Here is an 18,849-nt window from a genome sequence, read left to right on the forward strand (position 1 = left end):
AACCACAAAAGCCCTGAGATGCAAGAGAACAGGTCCTGGAGGCAGAGACCAGAAACCCAGGACCTTGGATGCTGGCCAAAGAGATGGGATTTTTCTCCTGAGGGCACTGGGGAGTCATGGAGGGCTTAACTGGGGGAGTGACACAGTTCAGGCTTTAGTCCAACCCCTGTGGCTGTCATGTGTATGGGTGTGTGTGGAACAGATGTGAGCGAGGCACCCAGAAAGGAGATCATGTGAAAACCACAGCCAGGGTAGGGGTAGGCAGGAGGGGATGTCAATCTCTACAGACTCTAGTTTTCTTTATTTTCCTTTATTATTTTTTTTTCAATTCTTTTTATTTTTTATTTTTTGAGACAGAATCTCTCTCTGTTGCCCAGGCTGGAGTGCAGTGGTGCCATCTTGACTCACTGCAACCTCCACCTCCCCAGTTCAAGTGATTATCCTCAGTAGCTGGGATTACAGGCATGTACCACCATGCCTGGTTAATTTTTGGTATTTTTAGTAGAGATTGTATTTTTAGTTTCACCATGTTGGCCAGACTGGTCTCAAACTCCTGACCTCAAGTGATCTGCCCACCTCAGCCTCCCAGAGTTCTGGGATTACAGGTGTGAGCCACCGAGCCCGGCCTATTATTATTGTTTTTTGAGACAGGGTCTCGCTCCATCACCCAGGCTGCAGTGCAGTGGCGGCGCCATCTCAGATCACTGCAACCTCCACCTCCCAGGCTCAAACAATCCTCCTGCCTCATCCTCCCAAGTAGCTGGGACTACAGGCATGTGCCACCACGCCTGGCTAACGAGGTCTCACCACGTTGCCCAGGCTGGTATCCAACTCCTAGGCTCAAGTGATCTGCCCGCCTCAGCTTCCCAAAGTGCTGAGATTACAGGCACAAGCCACCGCATCCAGCCACTCTACAGACTCCTGGCTGCCCTTCTGTCCTAGTCTCCTCCGGCTCCCAGCCACTCCCTGCCCTGGATTCTGACCTGGGCACAGCTCTGACTACACTCACCAGACACCCCTCCTTCTCCTTCTCCTCCTCCCCCATGGCGATGACAGGTCTCAGGCAGGGAGGGTGGGCAGCCAGGACAAGGGCGTGGGTTTGTGTGCGTGTGGTGGTGGTGGGAGTGTCTGGTCGTGCGTGTGTTGTGAGCTCTGCCAGTGTTTGCCTGGGAATCTGCTGGGGACTTCCAGGTGCAGTATTTGTTGATCTGCTCCCTCCCCTGGTTTTTCCCCACCCGCTGGGCACTGGTTAATTCCCAACTTTCCAGGGCAGTCACTTCACCTCTCTTGCCTCAGTTCCCTGATCTGTCAATAGAGATACAATTACCAGTTCCCAACTCTGCAGGGTTGTGAGGTTCAAAGAGTCCAAGACTCAATAAATGTAACCATCATCTCCTGCTTGCTTCTGTATGAGCCCATGTTTCTTCCCAGGGGCGATTTGTTTTTTGTTTTGTTTTGTTTTTGAGATGGAGTCTTGCTCTGTTGCCCAGCCTGGAGTGCAGTGGCACGATCTCAGTTCACTGCAACCTCTGCCTCCTGGATTCAAGCGATTCTCCGGCCTCAGCCTCCCGAGTAGCTGGGACTACAGGCACGCACCACCATGCCCAGCTAATTTTTTTTTTTTTTGTATTTTTTTTTTTTTTTAGTAGAGATGGGGGTTTCACCATGTTAGCCAGGCTGGTCTTGAACTCCTGACCTCAAGTGATCCGCCTGCCTTGGCCTCCCAAAGTGCTAAGATTACAGGTGTGAGCCACTGCGCCTGGCCTGTTTTTGTTTTTTGTTTCTTTGAGACAGGATCTCATTCTGTCACCCAGGCTAAAATGCAGTGATGCGATCTCAGGTCACTGCAACTTTGACCTCCTGGGCTCAAGCGATCCTCCCACCTCAGCCTCTTGAGTAGCTGGGACCACAGGTGTGTTCCACCAAACTGAGATAATTTATTAATTTTTTTGTAGAGATGGGGTCTTGCCATGTTGCCCAGGCTGGTCTCAAACTCGTGGGTTCAAGTGATCTTCCTGCCTCAGCCTCCCAAAGTGTTAGATTACCGGTGTGAGCCACCACACTCAGCCCTTGGGGGCAATTTGAATCTGTGTCCCTGTGTATGTTCTCTAAGATTCTGTATGCGAGTGTGTCTAACTCGTTGTGTACCAGCTGTGCAACCTTGGGTGAGTTACTAGACCTCTCTGTGCCTAGTTTCTTCATCTGCTAAATGCACATGACTTCCTAGTCATGCTACTTCCTAGGGTGGATGTGGAGACTGAATTAATTGCCTAATTAATTACCTAAGTCCATTGCAACTAATGGACTTAGTGCAATGCCTGGCATGAGGGCAGCCTCAATTACATGATCATTATCACTGGGGCGTGACTTCTGTCCCCCACCCGCTGAGTGTCTGTGAGTGTCTGAGCGTTGGGGCAGGAAGTGCCTGTGAAAGCATGTGGAGTTATCTGGGACTATATGGGACCCAGCCTGGGAAGGCAGCTTCTGTTTCCATGGCACCCCTCACAGGGTTGTTGTATTGGAAAGACCCGTCCCAGAGGGCATCCGCCAGCACACAGCTGCACACACATGTTTGCTGTTACTTTTCCTTTACCTATAAAATGCCAGTCATAGTAGCACCCACCTTGTCTTTGTAGGAGAATGAAATGAACTTAGAGGCGCTCAGTAGAAAGCACTCACGCCTGTAATCCCAGCACTTTGGGAGGCCAAGGCAGGTGGATCACTTGAGGTCAGGAGTTTGAGACCAGTCTGATCAAGAGGGTGAAACCTCGTCTCTTCTAAAACTACAAAATTAGCTGGGTGTGGTGGCACATGCCTGTAATCCCAGCTACTCGGGAGGCTGAGGCAGGAGAATCACTTCAACCCGGGAGGCGGAGGTTGCAGTGAGCTGAGATCGTGCTTCTGCACTTCAGCCTGGGTGACAGAGTGAGACTCCATCAGAGAGAGAGAGAGAGAGAGAAGCAAGCGCTCAGTGCTGAGCTTACCTGGGCCAGGTAGAGGGATGTGGCCACGGGCAGGAAGTGGCTGTGGGAATCTGGCGCTACAGGTTCCTCTGCCACCCCACTTCCTCCACACCTGACCTCCTGTCCCCACCTGTGCCCCGTCCCTTGCTCCCACCTCCTCGTGACCTCTGATGGGGGAGGCTTCTGCAGCCCCCCACCCCAGTCCCAGGCAGGGGTGCAGGCCCCCAGAACACCCAGTTGGGATCACTGCTTCCCTCTCACTGCCATCTTTGTGCCTCCCTGGGGTCCCCCATCTCTGAGGCTCCTCATCTCTGGTTTTGGGTGTCTCTCTGCTCTCCTCACCTTGGTTTTCTGGACAGTATGTGTCAGGGCCCCAAGGGGGTGTCCCAGGTGAGGACAGAGAAGGAAGTGGCAGAGGCAGGACCTTCCCTTTGCACCTCAGCTCATCCATCCACTCCCCCTCTGCAGAGTGGGGAGGGGGAGGAGGGGGGTCTTCGTTAATTAGCCTCTTAATCCTGCCATGCTGGATCTTAATGAGGTGCACGGGTCCCATTAGACAGCCCGGAGCCCTGGCATTAGCACATTAGTCACACGCTCTGTCAGGCTCACGCTGGGTCCTCAGCTGGCCCTGGGAAAATTGGGGCAGGAAGTCTGGGGACCTAAGGAGGGGGCTGGTGCCTGGACTTCTGGGTCTGAAGAAGGAGGGGCTGGTGCCTGGACTCCTGGATCTGAGGGAGGACGGACTGGGGGCCTGGATTCCTGGGTCTGCGGGAAGAGGGGCTGGTGCCTGGACTCCTGGGTCTGAGGGAGGAGGGGCTGGGGTCTTGAATTCCTGGGTCTGAGGGAGGAGGGGCTAGGGGCCTGGACTCCTGGGTCTGAGGGAGGAGGGGCTGGGGTCTTGAATTCCTGGGTCTGAGGGAGGAGGGGCTAGGGGCCTGGACTCCTGGGTCTGAGGGAGGAGGGTCCGAGGGACAAGATCCTCCCCCGACACGCCCCTCTCTTAAATGTCAGCCAGGGTGCCCTGCCCCTTCCCGCTCCCAGTTAACCCCAGCCCTGTGAAACCGGGACAGTCGCGCAGCCTCGAGGGATGGAGGAGGTGCGTGAGGGACACGCGCTCGGTGGCGGGATGGAAGCCGATGGGCCCGCGAGCCTCCAGGAGCTGCCTCCCTCGCCACGGTCGCCTTCACCGCCGCCGTCGCCGCCACCACTGCCCTCGCCGCCGTCGCTGCCATCGCCCGCAGCCCCGGAGGCCCCCGAGCTCCCCGAGCCGGCGCAGCCGTCCGAGGCTCACGCCCGGCAGCTGCTGCTGGAGGAGTGGGGGCCGCTGAGCGGGGGCCTGGAGCTGCCCCAGCGCCTCACCTGGAAGCTGCTCCTGTTGCGGCGGCCGCTCTACCGCAACCTGCTGCGCTCGCCCAACCCCGAAGGTGCGCAAGGGCCCAGAGCAGCCAGGAGGCACCACCCTGACCGTCTGTCTCTTCCTCTTTCCCTGTTTCCTTATCTCTCTACCTCTTTGTCTCTCTCTGTCTATGCATTTCTCTGCATCCCTCTGTCTCTTTTTCTGTCATTGTGCCTCTCCATTTTACCACCTGTCTCTCTGTCATGTCTCTTACCTACCTCTCTCACACCTCTCCCTCACACCTCTCCATCTCTCTTTCTCTCTCCTCCTCTCTCTCTCCCCCTCTGCCTATGTTTCTGTCTCTTGAGACGGAGTCTTGCTGTCGCCCAGGCTGGAATGCAGTGGTGCAATCTCAGCTCACTGCAACCTCCGCCTCCCAGGCTCAGGCAATTCTCCTGCCTCAGTCTCCCGAGTAGCTGGGATTACAGGCATGCACCACCATGCCTGGCTAATTTTTGTATTTTTAGTAGACACAGGGTTTCGTCATGTTGGCCAGGCTGGGCTGGTTTCAAACTCTTGGCCTGTCTCTTTCTCTGGGTTCTTCTCTCTGTCCCTCTGTCTCTGTCTGTCTCACCACACCCCACTTACCCCTGGCATTGCCCTCTCCCCAGCCCAGAGCCCTGACTCACTCATCCCTGCCGGGCTTCCCTGACCTGGCACAGATTCCTGCCCTTCCAGTGTATAGCCCTGCGGGTAGGGAGGGGTGAGGCGGTGGAAGATGGAGGGGCTGCCCAGAGGCTCCACTCACCTGTCCATTTCAGGCATCAACATTTATGAGCCAGCACCCCCTACTGGTCCCACCCAGCGACCCCTGGAAACTCTGGGTAAGTGCTTGGAGGGCCAGGTTGCTGAGGGTGGGGAGGGTCCTCCAGCGTTGGGGTGTCCTAACCCTTTGCTCCCCAACCTGCAGGCAATTTCCGTGGCTGGTACATTAGAACTGAAAAGCTCCAGCAGAACCAAAGGTGAGTCGCCAGGGCCAGTGTGGCTTACACTCCATTCCCTGCTCCACCCTTCCTCACTGTGAGACCTGGAGAAACTGACTTGGCCTCTCTGGACCTCCATTTCCTGCTCTGTAAACAGGGTTAGCATAAGAGAGAATGCTTGTAAAACACACAGCATAGGGCCCGGCCAGGTCTGGCTAGCACCAGTCAATAGCAGCTATTATTGGTTTTTGGTTTTTGTTTTTAAGATGAAGTCTCACTCTGTTGCCCAGACTGGAGTGCAGTGACGCAATCTCAGCTCACTGCAACCTCTGCCTCCCAGGTTCATGCAATTCTCCTGCCTCAGCCTCCTGAGTAGCTAGGATTATAGGTGTGCGCCATCATGCCCAGCTCATTTTGTATTTTTAGTAGAGACGGAGTTTCACCATGTTGGCCAGGCTGGTCTCGAACTCCTCACCTCAAGTGATCTGCCTGCCTCAGCCTCCCAAAGTGCTCAGATTACAGGCATGAGCCACCGCGCCTGGCTATTCTTGTTATTGTTGTAATTATTCTAAGGCTCTTTCCCTGGGAGGGGAAGAGTCACCCCAGGCCCCTGTCCTCCATGAAACAGAGCCTTGCTCCTGCACAGTAGATGAGCTGGTGTGACTTGGAGGCTCAGGGTCACACAGGCCAGGGTTGGGATCCTGGCTCTGCCACATGTTTGCTGCTTGACCTTGGACACGTCTCCATCCTCAGCCTCAGGTTCCTTGTCTGTAGCATGGGGTTCAGGATGCATTGCCCTCAGAGGGGCCCGTGGGAACTGAGAGTGGAAGGTGCTGAGGGAGCACCCCACGTGTGGGGACCCAAGCTATCCCTAAGAAAGCACTAAGACAGGGCTTCCTGCTCCCTGGATCCTGGCAGATCGCAGACCCCGCCTCTCCCGGCCCTTCTTTCACAGCTGGACAGTGAAGCAGCAGTGTGTGGACCTTCTGGCCGAGGGCCTGTGGGAGGAGCTGCTGGATGACGAACAACCAGCCATTACGGTCATGGACTGGTGCGTGCCCCTCCCCTGCCAGCCTGACCCCGTGATCGCGCAGGGCTGCCCAGAGCATGAGCCTTACTCTGAGCTCCCCTTGCTTTCAGCCCTTCACCAAGACCCTCCTGGTGCTACAGGGTCCTGCCCTGCCCACCTCCCTGGCCCCTTCTGTTTGAGCCTTTCAGATTTTGAAATGTGCCAGGGGGTTACTGAGGCTGATCTTTATTTCTTTTTCTTTTCTTTTTTTTTTCTTTTTTCTTTCTTTTTTTTTTTTTTTTTTTTTTTTGAGACAGCTGACTCTGTCGCCCATGCTGGACTGCAGTGGTGCCATCTCAGCTCACTGCTACCTCTGCCTCGCAGGTTCAAGCGATTCTCCTGCCTCAGCTTCCCAAGTAACTGGGACTACAGGCGCGCGCCACCATACCTGGCTAATTTCTGTATTTTTAGTAGCGATGGGGTTTCACCATGTTGCCCAGGCTGGTCTCGAACTCCTGACATCAAGTGATCTGCCTGCCTTGGCCTCCCAAAGTGCTGGGATTACAGGTGTGAGCCACTGTGCCCAGCCTATTCCTTATTTCTTAAAAGCCTGTCACCCTCTATTCTCAAGACCAATTCCTTCTTATTCCTTAGGAGTCACTTCCACATGGCTGCACCAGGAAGCCCTCCCTGATCACCCCTCAGCTGGGTCACGTGCATTTTCTCCAGTGCCCTGTGCCTCCAATTCCAGCCCCAACCCCTCTGCCTGGGTCCCCAATTCCGACCCCAACCCCTCTGCCTGTGTCCCCAGTTCTGTCCCCAACTCCTCTGCCTGGGTCCCCCCATCCTGGCCCTGACCCCTCTGCCCGTGCTCCCCATCCCAAACCTGGCCGTTCCTGGCTGTCATGTTTGGTGGCATGCCTGCCTCCCTCACTGGACTGTGAATCCCATGTGGCAGGGTGTGGGGCTGTCTTGGTCACTGCTATGTTGCCAGCACCACCCAGCTCAGGGCTGTGTACAGCATGGGTAGCAGCATGTGTGTTGAATGGGGAATGGGGCCAGGGGCTGGGGCTGGGTAGCTGAGACTGCAGTGACAGCTGAAGGCCTTGACTCCGCCTGCAGGTTCGAGGACAGCCGGCTGGATGCGTGCGTCTATGAGCTGCATGTCTGGCTGCTGGCGGCCGACCGCCGCACGGTCATTGCTCAGCACCACGTGGCCCCCCGAACTTCTGGGAGAGGACCCCCTGGCCGCTGGGTCCAGGTGAGACTCTCCGCGCCGGGGCCCTCAACCCCAGACGTGTGTTCTTGTCCCAAGACCTCACAGAGGGAGGAGAACAGGTCCGCGGGTCCTCAAAAAGGGCTCCTCCCTAACCCCAGGTGCTGTCACCACAGGTGTCCCACGTATTCCGCCATTATGGTCCCGGTGTGCGCTTTATCCACTTCCTGCACAAGGCCAAGAACCGCATGGAGCCTGGTGGGCTGCGGCGGACACGGGTGACCGACTCCTCCGTGTCTGTGCAGCTCCGGGAGTGACTGGCTGGCTCCTCTGTCCTGACCCCACAGCACCTCCCTGACCTTTAGGAGCCCCAACTCTTAGTCACCTCCTAGGCCTCTTATTTCTCCCTGGCCCTTGGCTTCTCACTTGATGGACAGCTTCACACACCCTTAAGCGGTGGACTCCAGCATTTTCCCAGCACTGTCTGAGCCCCATGAGGGCGGAGCCACTCCTTGTAAATTCAGTGCCCGACAGATGCTCTGGCACAGATGCTTTGTAGATCTCTGTTGAGAGAATGCATAGACACCTGTGCCCAAGGATGCTGAGGGCTGGTCTCTGCTTCTTTGAACTTCACTGAAACTGAATGCTCACTGCTGTGTTGCCAGCACCACCCAGCCCAGGGCTGTGAACGGAGTGGGTGGCAGCAAATGTGTGTTGAAAGGGGAATGAAGCCATTCACTTCACTCAGTTCCTGTCCCATTTAACCGCCCCGATCCTTGATCTTCCATTACCTTCACATCCCGGGGTCCTTCTGAACTGACCTTGACCTCTGATCTCTTCACACATCTCCCCTTAGCATCTCCACTTACCTACTTTTTTTTTTTTTTTTGAGATGGCATCTCACTCTGTCACCCAGGCTGGAGTGTAGTGACACGATCTCGACTCACTGCAATTTCCACCTCTCAGGTTCAAGTGGTTCTCCTGCCTCAGCCTCTCAAGTAGCTGGGATTACAGGTGCACAGCACCTCCCCCGACTAATTTTTATATTTTTAGTAGAGACGGGATTTCGCCATGTTGGCCAGGCTGGTCTCAAACTCCTGACCTCAAGTGATCTGCCCACCTTGGCTTCCCAAAGTGCTGGGATTGCAGACGTGAGTCACTGCGCCCAGCCATTCCATGTCTCTTAAGTCTCAGAATCTCCCCTAGCTCCCTCCAGGTGTCTGCAGTGGTTGTCCCCTCAAAGCTGTCCCACACCCTCCTCCGAGGACCCTTTGTGTATCTCCTCCAGCTACCGCAGAGCCCACAAACCCAGGCATCTATCAAAGTCCCTCATTCATGAGGGTGGTGAGGACACAGACTGCGACCAGAACAGAAATATGAAAATGTGAATGACAGCGTCCCCCGTGTGTGGAATGTGGGGATTAAAAGCATTTATCAACCTCTAAGTCCTGATCTGATCACTTGCAGATCCTAGCCCTAGTGCAGGGCTGGGTACTAGAAGGCCCCCTGCTGTCCCCTGCAGGAACCATGGAGGGAGTCCGGAGGCCCCTGGAGGCCAGAAACGGCTCAAGGAAGAGTGTTTGTTTGTTTGTTTTGAGACAGAGTGCTCCCTCTGTTGCCCAGGCTGGAGTGCAGTGGCACGATCTCGGCTCACTGCAACCTCCACCTCCCAGGTTCAAGCGATTTCTGGCTAATGTTTGTGGGGTTTTTTTGTTTGTTTGTTTGTTTGTTTTGTTTTGAGATGAAGTCTCGCTCTGTCACATGATCTCGGCTCACTGCCAGCTCCGCCTCCAGGTTCAAGCCATTCTCCCGCCTCAGCCTCCCGAGTAGCTGGGACTACAGGCGCCCACCACCACGCCTGGCTAATTTTTTTGTATTTTTAGTAGATACGGGGTTTCACTGTGTTACCCAGGATGGTCTCAATCTCCTGACCTCGTGATCCGCCTGCCTCGGCCTCCCAAAGTGCTGGGATTACAGGCGTGAGCCACCGCACCCCGCCCTAATGTTTGTATTTTTAGTAGAGACGGGGTTTCACCATGTTTGCCAGGCTGGCCTTGAACTCCTGACCTCAGGTGATCCGCCCACCTCAGCCTCCCAAAGTGCTAGGATTACAGGCCTGAGCCACCACACCAGGGCTAAGGAAGGGCTATTACTGAAAAGGATGGGGCATGTTTCATATTTAACAATCAGCCCAAGGTTCCCCTGCAGTTCACTCACATGTCCTTCTGTGGGCGTGTGTCTTCGTGCACACCTAAAACCATGTCCGAGTCGATGGCGTGTCCTTATCCATGGCATTGTCCTGGGTATGGGCTGACCCAGGCCCAACCACCCTGCTGTCTCCTCCATCCCACCCGGTCCTTGCATCCCAGGGACAAGCAGATGACAGACGGGGACAACTGCACAAAGGCTGTATTGCAGGGGAGGTGGGAGGGGGCAGGCAGAACGCTCCTCCTCCTGGGTCTTGGGGCCCCGGAGCAGAGCCCAGGGATGGGCTGAGTGAGGGGCTTGGCACTCTGTGGAAGCTGCAGATGAGAGACCAGCAATGCATCAGCTGCACCTGAAATGTAATCAAGAATTCCTTCCAGGGGCTCTCAGAGACCCAGAGTCTGGTGAGTTCTAGAAGCCTGAGACTGGGTGGGGGCTGGGGAGTCTGGGTCTGAGGCTCCAAGTTCAGGAACCAGGGATCCTAGCCTGGGAGTTTGGAGCTGGGGGCTCCTTGGAGCTCTTGGGGGACAGGAGTGGCTGGGGAGGGTTTGGGAGGGTGTCACCGCTGGATCTAGGTCCCAGGTCTGTGAGTGCAAGGTGGCCTCAGGGACCTCCAGGGTTGGGTCTTGGGGGTGGGCTGTGGGACTGATTTTAGGGCTGAGGCTGGTCTGGAGGGTCTAGGGGAGTGGAGAGCATGAAGGCTACACTGGGTGTTCCTATAATCGAGTCTGGAGTCTTGAGGTCTGGGTTAGTTTTGGAGTCTGGGAGCTTTGAGATGTGATGATCTGGGGAGTGGGGGCTGGCTTTGGTTCTGGGGACTCCAGGGTGAGGGGGTCTAGGAGCTCTCAGTCCCCAGAATTAGCCAGCCCTCTCTGGGAAGTACAGCTGTGGGCGGGTGGGTAGGCGGAAGATTCCAGAAGGTGGAGGGTTGGCTCTGAATCTCAGAGCTGGGGCGGAAATCTCCGTCCCAGGGGCCTGGGCTGCAGGTGGAGTGGGGACCGGGTGCTGGGGGTGAGGAGAAGGAGGACCTGGTTTGGGTGAGGACTCTGAGATGGGGGCCTCCAGGACTGGTTCTAGGGAGGCCTGGTGCTCCCTGTTACAGTCGGGAGCTCAGGGGTGTGGAGCAGCCTCGGGGCTTGGGTGGTGGGTGTGGGGGCTTATGCGGAGCTGGGGCCTGGGCCTGGGGTGGGCTCGGAGCTTTGGGCGGCCGGGCACCTGCAGTAGAGCGCGGAGATAGCGTTGGACCAGTCTCCTAAGATGCCCCGGCGGTACTCCTCCAGGCGCGGGTAGGTGCCGGCAGAGAACTTGTGCGTCTTGCCCGCCTTGCCTTGCCGGGACCACACGGTGAGCTCGCAGCGCGGGGCCACCACAAGTGAGGAGGCGGTGTTGGCCCAGTTGGAGGGCAGGTAGGGCAGGTCTGCGCCCGACTCCAGCGACAGCTCGGCGCCCCCGCAGCAGTTCTCATAGTAGGGGTCGCTCTTGTCATAGAGCTTGGCGCAAGTGCGCGTCCCGTCCGAGTGCTTGAGGTCGGCGGAGGCGGGGCAGGCGCCCTGGGCGCAAGGCACGGAGGCAAGGGCCAGGGCCAGCAGCAGCGGGCGCAGCGGGGACATGGTGGCAGTGCCCTGCCGCAGCCCCGCGCGCTTTTATGCGCCCGACCCGTGGGAAGGGACAAGCTGCGAGATAAGGACTCATCGAGGGAAGGGGAGGGCGCCCCTCCCTCAGGAGCCGGGAGACCTGCCTAACCTAGGTCGGAAGCCCACAACCCTGAGTACAAGGTGGACGCTGTGTATACAACTTAGCACCTTAAGATGTTAGGTGACCAACAACATTATAAAGAGAGACAATAGACAGAACTTGAGGAGGAGTCATTTGCAACACAGAGGGTGGCATAGGTTAATAGACAGAAATGGGAAGAGCTCTTAAAAATTGACAAGGGGCTTGCTGGTTGCTCACGCCTGTAATCCCAGCACTTTGGGAGGCCTAGACGGGTGGATCGCTTGGGCCCAGGAGTTTGAGACCAGTCTGGGCAACATAGCAAGATCCCATCCCTACTGAAAAATAAAATTAGCTCAGCGTGGTGGCATGGCCTGTAGTCCCATCTACTCACAAAGCAGAGGCGGAAGGATCGCTTGAGCCCGGGAGTTCGAGGCTGCAGTGAGCCGAGATCGTTTCACTGCACTCCAGCCTGGGCAACAAAGACAGGAAAAAAAAGATAAGGAATGGAACAACCCTTATTCTAAATAAGGAAAGACTGGGAGGGGGAGGCAGGAGTGGGAGGCTGGGGCCTCCTGGCTGGGCAGGCTCCCTCCCTGGGAGGCAGGACCTTGGGAAAGGAGAAGCTGGAGATAAGGATAGAGGCCCTCGTGGTGGGGCGGGGGGGGGCAGGTAGAGAAGGAGATGGGGAGGAGCCCAACGCCCCACCCCCCACCCCCACCAGGCTCAGACTGGGCAATCTTCCCAACCAAGGCTGGCAATCCAGAATCTGTGAAGTACAAGATAGCAGTATTTGCATAACACGTTAAAAACCTTTTGCAAGACAGTGTACAAAGGCTTGAGGAGATATTTGCAACATTTCAAAAGCATAGCATTGCAAGCTATAATATATAAAGAGTGCACACAGGTTGGGCGCGGTGACTCACGCCTGTAATCACAATACTTTGGGAGACTGAGGCAGGTGGATCATTTGAGGCCAGGAGTTCGAGACCAGCCTGGCCAACATGATGAAACCCCGTCTCTACTTAAAGTACAAAAATTAGCCAGGCGTGGTGGCACATGCCTGTAGTCCCAGCTACTCGGGAGGCTGAGGGATGAGAATCACTTGAACCCAGAAGGTGGAAGTTGCAGTGAGCCGAGATCGCGTCAAAAAAAAAGAGTGCATACAAATTGACAAGAAATGCACTCCTCCCTCCCACATGCTAAGGACAGGCCTAGGAGAGGGAGAGGGAGGGAACAGCCTGCAACTCCCACCCCAGGAGCCAGGAGACTTTCTTAACTAAGGTTGGAAATCTTCAATCTATAAAACTTCAATCTTGTTTTATAGATTTTGAGCTGTATAAAACTGTAAAAACTGTCATATAGCAAAAACAAAACAAAACCCACAAACCCATCCAGGGAAAAATAGACTCAATTCCTATCATATAAAATGAGCTCTTACCAATCAGCCAATAGAAATGAAACAAGGGCCGGGAGCAGTGGCTCACGCCTGTAGTCCCAGCACTTTGGAAGGCCCAGGTGAGTGGATCACTTGAGGTCAGGAGTTCGAGACCCGCCTGGCCAACATAGTGAAACCCTGTCTCTACTAAAAATACAAAAGTTAGCTGGGCACGGTGACACACAGAGCCTCGGGAAGCTGAGGCAGGAGAATTGCTTGAACCGAGGAGGCAGAGGTTGCAGTGAGCCGAGATCACACCATTGCACTCCAGTCTGGGTGACAGAGTGATTCTGTCAAAAAAAAAAAAAAAAAAAAAGAGAGAAAGAGAAAAGAAACAAGCAAAGGAAAAATTAGAGCAGTATAGGAAGGAGAGGGAGATTGGAACCCTCGGGCTGAACAGGGACCCGGACCTCTGGGAGCCTGGCCAAAGCCCTTCCAAGGTTCTTTGGAGTTCCCAGCCTCTTCCCAAAACAGGGTCAAGTGTGTGGATGCGCTGATTAGAGAGACAAGGGTCCACTGGCTCTGTCAGTACAGGTGTGGGCCTTGGTTTCCTCATCTGTGAAATGGGTAATGTTTCCTCCTACGCCATACGAATGTTGAAAAGGTTGCAGGAGATGGTAGAAGGGATGTGGTTTAGGAGGACAGTCCATGGAGTCAAACTGCCTGGGTCCAAATCCCAGCTCCTCTACAAGCTGTGCACATGAAGGCCTCAGGGACACGCTGATGGTACCTACCTCAGAGTGCTGGTATAAGGAATAAATTAATTGGGCTGGGCGCAGAGGCTCACCGCCTGTAATCCCAGCACTTTGGGAGGCCAAGGCAGGAGGATCACTTGAGGTCAGGAGTTCAAGATCAGCCTGGCCAACATGGCAAAGCCCCATCTCTACTAAAAATACAAAACTTATCCGGTCGTGGTGGCAGGTGCCTGTAATCCCAGCTACTTGGGAGGCTGAAGCAGAAGAATTGCTTAAACCTGGGAGGCCGAGGCTGCAATGAACTGAGATCGTGCCATTGCATTCCAGCCTGGGTGATAGAGTGAGACCCTGCCAAAAAAAAAAAAAAAAGGAATAAATGAATTAATCCACATAACAGCACTTAGAGAAGGGATCGGCCTTTGCTAAGTGCCATATGAGCATTTGCCATCATCATCACCACCATCTTTTTTTTTTTTTTTTAAGAGATAGTCTCACTCCGTCTCCCAGGTCTGCAGCCTCAACCTCCTGGGCTTAAGCAATCCTCCCACCTCAGCTTCCCAAGTAGAGAACATGCCACCACAGGCCCGCACCACCACACTCTGCTAATTTTTTGGTTTTTTTTGTAGAGATGGGGTTTCACCATGTTGCCCAGGCTGGTCTCGAACTCTTGGGCTCAATCGGTCCTCCTGCCTCCCACAGTGCTGGGATCACAGGTATGAGCCACTGCACCCGGTGCATCATTATTATTATTAAAACCTTTAGCACAGTGCCTGGCACATAGTAAGGACTCAATAAACCTCAACCATCACAACAACATAACACCAACAATTTGCTGTTATCCACAGTCACTCAGCTAAACCTATGCCCTGCTGGTCCTCCTTAGATGCTGTGGCTTCCACCTCGGGTGGGGTAGGGCTGTTGTAGAGAGCCAAAGACTGGAAACACTTGGAAGTGGGTTCGGATGTTTACTCTGCCACCTGCTTGCTGAGCAACCTTGGGAAAATGAACTTACCTCTCTGAGCTTCAGTTTCCTCCTACCTTCAATGGGATAATAGAAAATGAGGTCTCATGAGCCAGGCATGATGGCACATGCCCATAGTCCCAGTTACTTAGGAGGCCAAGGCAGGAGGATCACTTGAGTCCAGGAGGTCGAGGCTGCATTGAGCTGTGATTGCATCACTGTGCTCCAGCCTGGGCAATAGACGGAAACCCTGTCTCAAAAAAAAAAAAAAAAAAAAAAAAGACGTCTCTATAAAGTAATTTACAACTGATATAATACATTATGAACAATCCATATAATTGTTATTTATAAATATAATATAGGCTGGGCACGGTGGTTCATGCCTGTAATCCTGGCACTCTGGGAGGCCGAGGCGGGAGGATCACTTGAGGTCAGGAGTTCCGAGACCAGCCTGGCCAACATGGTGAAACCCTGTCTCTACTAAAAAAATACAAAAATTAGCTGGGCGCGGTGGCACATGCCTGTAATCCCAGCTACTCAGGAGGCTGAGGAAGGAGAATCGCTTGATCCTGGGAGGCGGAGGTTGTAGTGAGCCAAGATCGTGCCATTGCACTCCAGCCTGGGTGACAGAGTGAGACTCTGTCTCCAGAAAAAAAAAAAGAAAGAAAAAAAGAAATATATATACATACATATATATGTATATGTATGTAATATGAATACTTAATATACAATATTGCATTAACACAATAGTATAAATGCAAATACATAAAGCATGAAGTACAGTGCCCAACACATGATAGGTACTCAATACATGGGAGCTACTATGACTGTTCTCCTAACAGCTCTGAGACCCTGGCCATTGGCCTGGCCCTGCCCAGGGATCCTTCTTTCTCATTTCCTTTTGTGATCCCTTGAAATCTAATCTCCAGCTGCTGACTTCCCAGAGAGCCTCCTTGGTCCCAGGGGCACAGAACACCCACCCTCTGGCTCTGCACCGCCCCAGACACAGGGATGGAGGACAGCAGAGTCACTTAGAGTCCTGCCCACCCCGGAGGGCCATGAACTTCAGACACAGAGAGCGACATGGCTAGGGAGACCCTGACAGGGAGACAGACACAGGCACAGGAAGGAACACGGAAACCACTGAGGCACAGTACACAGCCCGTGTCTGACAGAGCCCACAGAGACCCAGGGCCTGGGCACAGCATTTTCAATCCCGCCTCACACACGGGCAGGGAGTAGGGACACGCATCACACAGCCAGCCACTGATGGTCCTGGATTCTCACTGGTGAATCCTAAGGTAGACACATGCACAGATCTGGGGCAACACGTACCCCTGTCCCCCAACGGAACCACACACAGCCATTGTCACAAACAAGCCTCCAGTCTTCCTCCACTCCCGCCCTACACTCTACAAATCTCACAATCTCACACCTGTGAAATCTTTTTTTTTTTTTTGAGACAGAGTTCCGCTCTCGTTGCCCAGGCTGCTGCAGTGCAATGGTGCGATCTCAGCTCACTGCAACCTCTGCCTCCCGGGTTCAAGCGATTCTCCTGCCTCAGCCTTTCAAGTAGCTGGGATTACAGGTGCCCGCCACCATGCCCAGCTAATTTTTTGTATTTTTAATAGAGACAGGGTTTTGCCATGTTGGCCAGGCTGGTCTCAAACTCCTGACCTCAGGTGATCCACCCACCTCTGCCTCCCAAAGTGCTGGGATTACAGGCGTGAGCCACCGCGCCCGGCCTCTTTTTTTTTTTTTTTTTTTTTTTACATTGTCGGGGTCTCGATCTGTTGGCTAGACTGGTCTCAAAATCCTGGCCTCAAGCAATCCTCCCACCTGAGCCTCCCAAAGTGCTGGGATTATAGGCATGAGCCACCACACATCATGTGAAATCTCACACACACACATCTGACTTGTTCACATAAGCACACGTCACACACACACACACACACACACACACACACACAGGCGCACAGCGTCCTCATCCAGAAACAATTTCCTCAGTATTTATTAACACAAACTAGACAAATGGTAGAAAAGCGAACATCTTATTACACAATTTTTTCTAATAGGAGAATGTCCTGCCCTTGAGGAACCATGAGCCCTTGAGAATGTCAGATGGTAAATAAATCAATAATTCGAACACAACGTGAAAAGAGTTAGAACAGGGGCATACAAAGGAATGCAATGGGAAGAATGACAGGTTGGTTTGTTTGTTTCATATCCACTGATATATTTTGGTTTGTATAATAAGGAATCCTCTTTTCAGGTTTTACAACCTTGATTTGACATTTTTCAGCACAGCATAAAAAGAGAGATTGCTTATACATGTGAAATTGCCACTAGAAGAAAAACGGAAGTATTTGTCTCCATCAGGGTGGTACTTGAACATAAACAACATTATAGGTTGTACATAATTTAAATGAAAATGCTGTGTGTTGCATAAATACAGGAAAATACTCAGATCGGTACTTAAGTTCATACTGGGTCATCAGAATGCATTACAATTTTGTAAAGATATGACACTGAATGACATTTTCTTTCTTTTTTTGAGACAGGGTCTTGCTCTGTTGTCCAGGCTGGAGTACAGTGGTGCGATCACAGCTCACTGCAGCCTCAAACTCCTGGCCTCAAGCAATCTTCCTGCCTCAGCCTCCTGAGTAGCTGGGACCACAGGTACACACCACCAAGCCCAGCTATTTTTTTTTTTTTTTTTTGAGTGGAGTCTCGCTCTGTTGCCCAGGCTGGAGTGCAGTGGCACGATCTCAGCTCACTGCAAGCTCCACCTCCCAGGTTCACGCCATTCTCCTGCCTCAGCCTCCCAAGTAGCTGAGACTACAGGCGCCCGCCACCACACCCGGCTAATTTTTTGTATTTTTAGCAGAGATGGGGTTTCACCGTGTTAGCCAGGATGGTCTCGATCTCCTGACCTCATGATCTGCCTGCCTCGGCCTCCCAAAGTGCTGGAATTACAGGCGTGAGCCACCGTGCCCGGCCGGCCCAGCTAATTAAAAAAAAATTTTTTTTTTTTTTAGAGATAAGGTCTTGCTATGTTGCCCAGGCTGGTCTCTAGCTCCTGGGCCCAAGCGATCCTCCTGCTTTGGCCTCCCAATGTGTTGGGGTTACAGGTATGAACCACTGCACCCAGCCAGATTATTTCCATATAATTCTTTTTTTTTTTTTTTTTGAGATGGAGTCTTGCACTTGTCACCCAGGCTGGAGTGCAGTGGCGCGATCTCGGCTCACTGCAAGCTCCGCCTCCTGGGTTCACGCCATTCTCCTGCCTCAGCCTCCCGAGTAGCTGGGACTACAGGTGCCTGCTACCACGCCCAGCTAATTATTTTGTATTTTTAGTAGAGATGGGGTTTTACCCTGTTAGCCAGGATGGTCTGGATCTCCTGACCTTGTGATCTGCCCGCTTCGGCCTCCCAAAGTGCTGGGATTACAGGCGTGAGTCACCACACCTGGCTATTTCCATATAATTCTTAAGGGATAGTATAATCCCAAAGCAGCCGTAACTGTGTGGTTTGGAGACAGTGGTTCTCAAAGGGTACTCCCTGGACCAACAGCATCAGCATCCTGTCAGAACTTGCTAGAAGTTAAAATTCTCACCCCCACCCCAGCCCTACTCTGGGATGGGGCCTTGCAATCTGGGTTTTCACAAGCCCTCCTGGTTACTCCAGTGCACACTCAAGTTTAAGAACTGATGGCTAGGGCTTCAGTCTGAGGCTTCCTATGTCACGAATGGTTTATTATACCTAGAATTTTCTTCTCTTTTTCTTTTTCTTTTTTTTTTTTTTTGAGACGGAGTTTTGCTTTGTTGCCCAGGCTGGAGTGCAGTGTCATGATCTTGGCTCACTGCAACCTCTGCCTCCTAGGTTCAAGTGATTCTCCTGCCACAGCCTCTCAAATGGCTGGGATTACAGACACACGCCACCATGCCCGGCTAATTTTTGCATTTTTAGTAGAGACGGGGTTTCACCACGTTGGCCAGGCTGCTCTCGAACTCCTGACCTCAAGCGATCTGCCTGCCTCGGCCTCCCAAAGTGCTGAGATTACAGGCATGAGCCACCACGCCCAGCCTACGTCTAGAATTTTCTGTATTGATACTTCAATTTGTTTAGATCCTTTAAAAGTATATTTCATGTAATTCTCCTGATTACAGAAAAATATTGTCATTAGCAATTAGAAAAGGGAACATCTCCAGTGCCTGGAGCTCCAAATGCCCAGACTGAACTTGAATCTCCTGCAACACAGACAAAAGATTGGTCATCAGCTAACCTCAGGACACAGCTCACCTCCATTTTCTCAGATACACCTATGGCAG

General features: G+C 53.3%; 2 protein-coding genes across 3 annotated transcripts; one reads left to right on the forward strand and one right to left on the reverse strand.

The window, feature by feature from the left end:
- Positions 1 to 4,031: 4,031 nt before the first annotated feature.
- NCCRP1 (NCCRP1, F-box associated domain containing) lies at positions 4,032 to 8,952 on the forward strand. Of its 2 annotated transcripts, NM_001001414.2 has the most exons (6): positions 4,032 to 4,387; positions 5,121 to 5,183; positions 5,270 to 5,321; positions 6,238 to 6,333; positions 7,414 to 7,552; positions 7,684 to 8,952. In NM_001001414.2, the coding sequence occupies exons 1-6, from the start codon at positions 4,051 to 4,053 to the stop codon at positions 7,822 to 7,824; spliced, it is 828 nt and encodes a 275-aa protein (NP_001001414.1). In that variant the 5' UTR covers positions 4,032 to 4,050; the 3' UTR covers positions 7,825 to 8,952. The 2 variants fall into 2 exon arrangements, with proteins under 2 accessions (NP_001001414.1, XP_011525208.1); XM_011526906.4 differs by lacking the exons at positions 7,414 to 7,552; positions 7,684 to 8,952 and adding an exon at positions 6,946 to 7,392.
- A 940-nt stretch (positions 8,953 to 9,892) lies between these two features.
- SYCN (syncollin) lies at positions 9,893 to 11,331 on the reverse strand. The gene is made up of 2 exons (NM_001080468.4): positions 10,928 to 11,331; positions 9,893 to 10,064 (listed from the first exon to the last, which is right to left on the reverse strand). The coding sequence occupies exons 1-2, from the start codon at positions 11,320 to 11,322 to the stop codon at positions 10,055 to 10,057; spliced, it is 405 nt and encodes a 134-aa protein (NP_001073937.1). The 5' UTR covers positions 11,323 to 11,331; the 3' UTR covers positions 9,893 to 10,054.
- Positions 11,332 to 18,849: the final 7,518 nt, after the last annotated feature.

Source organism: Homo sapiens, chromosome 19 (genome assembly GCF_000001405.40).
Source record: "Homo sapiens chromosome 19, GRCh38.p14 Primary Assembly".
Taxonomy (NCBI): Eukaryota; Metazoa; Chordata; class Mammalia; order Primates; family Hominidae; genus Homo; species Homo sapiens.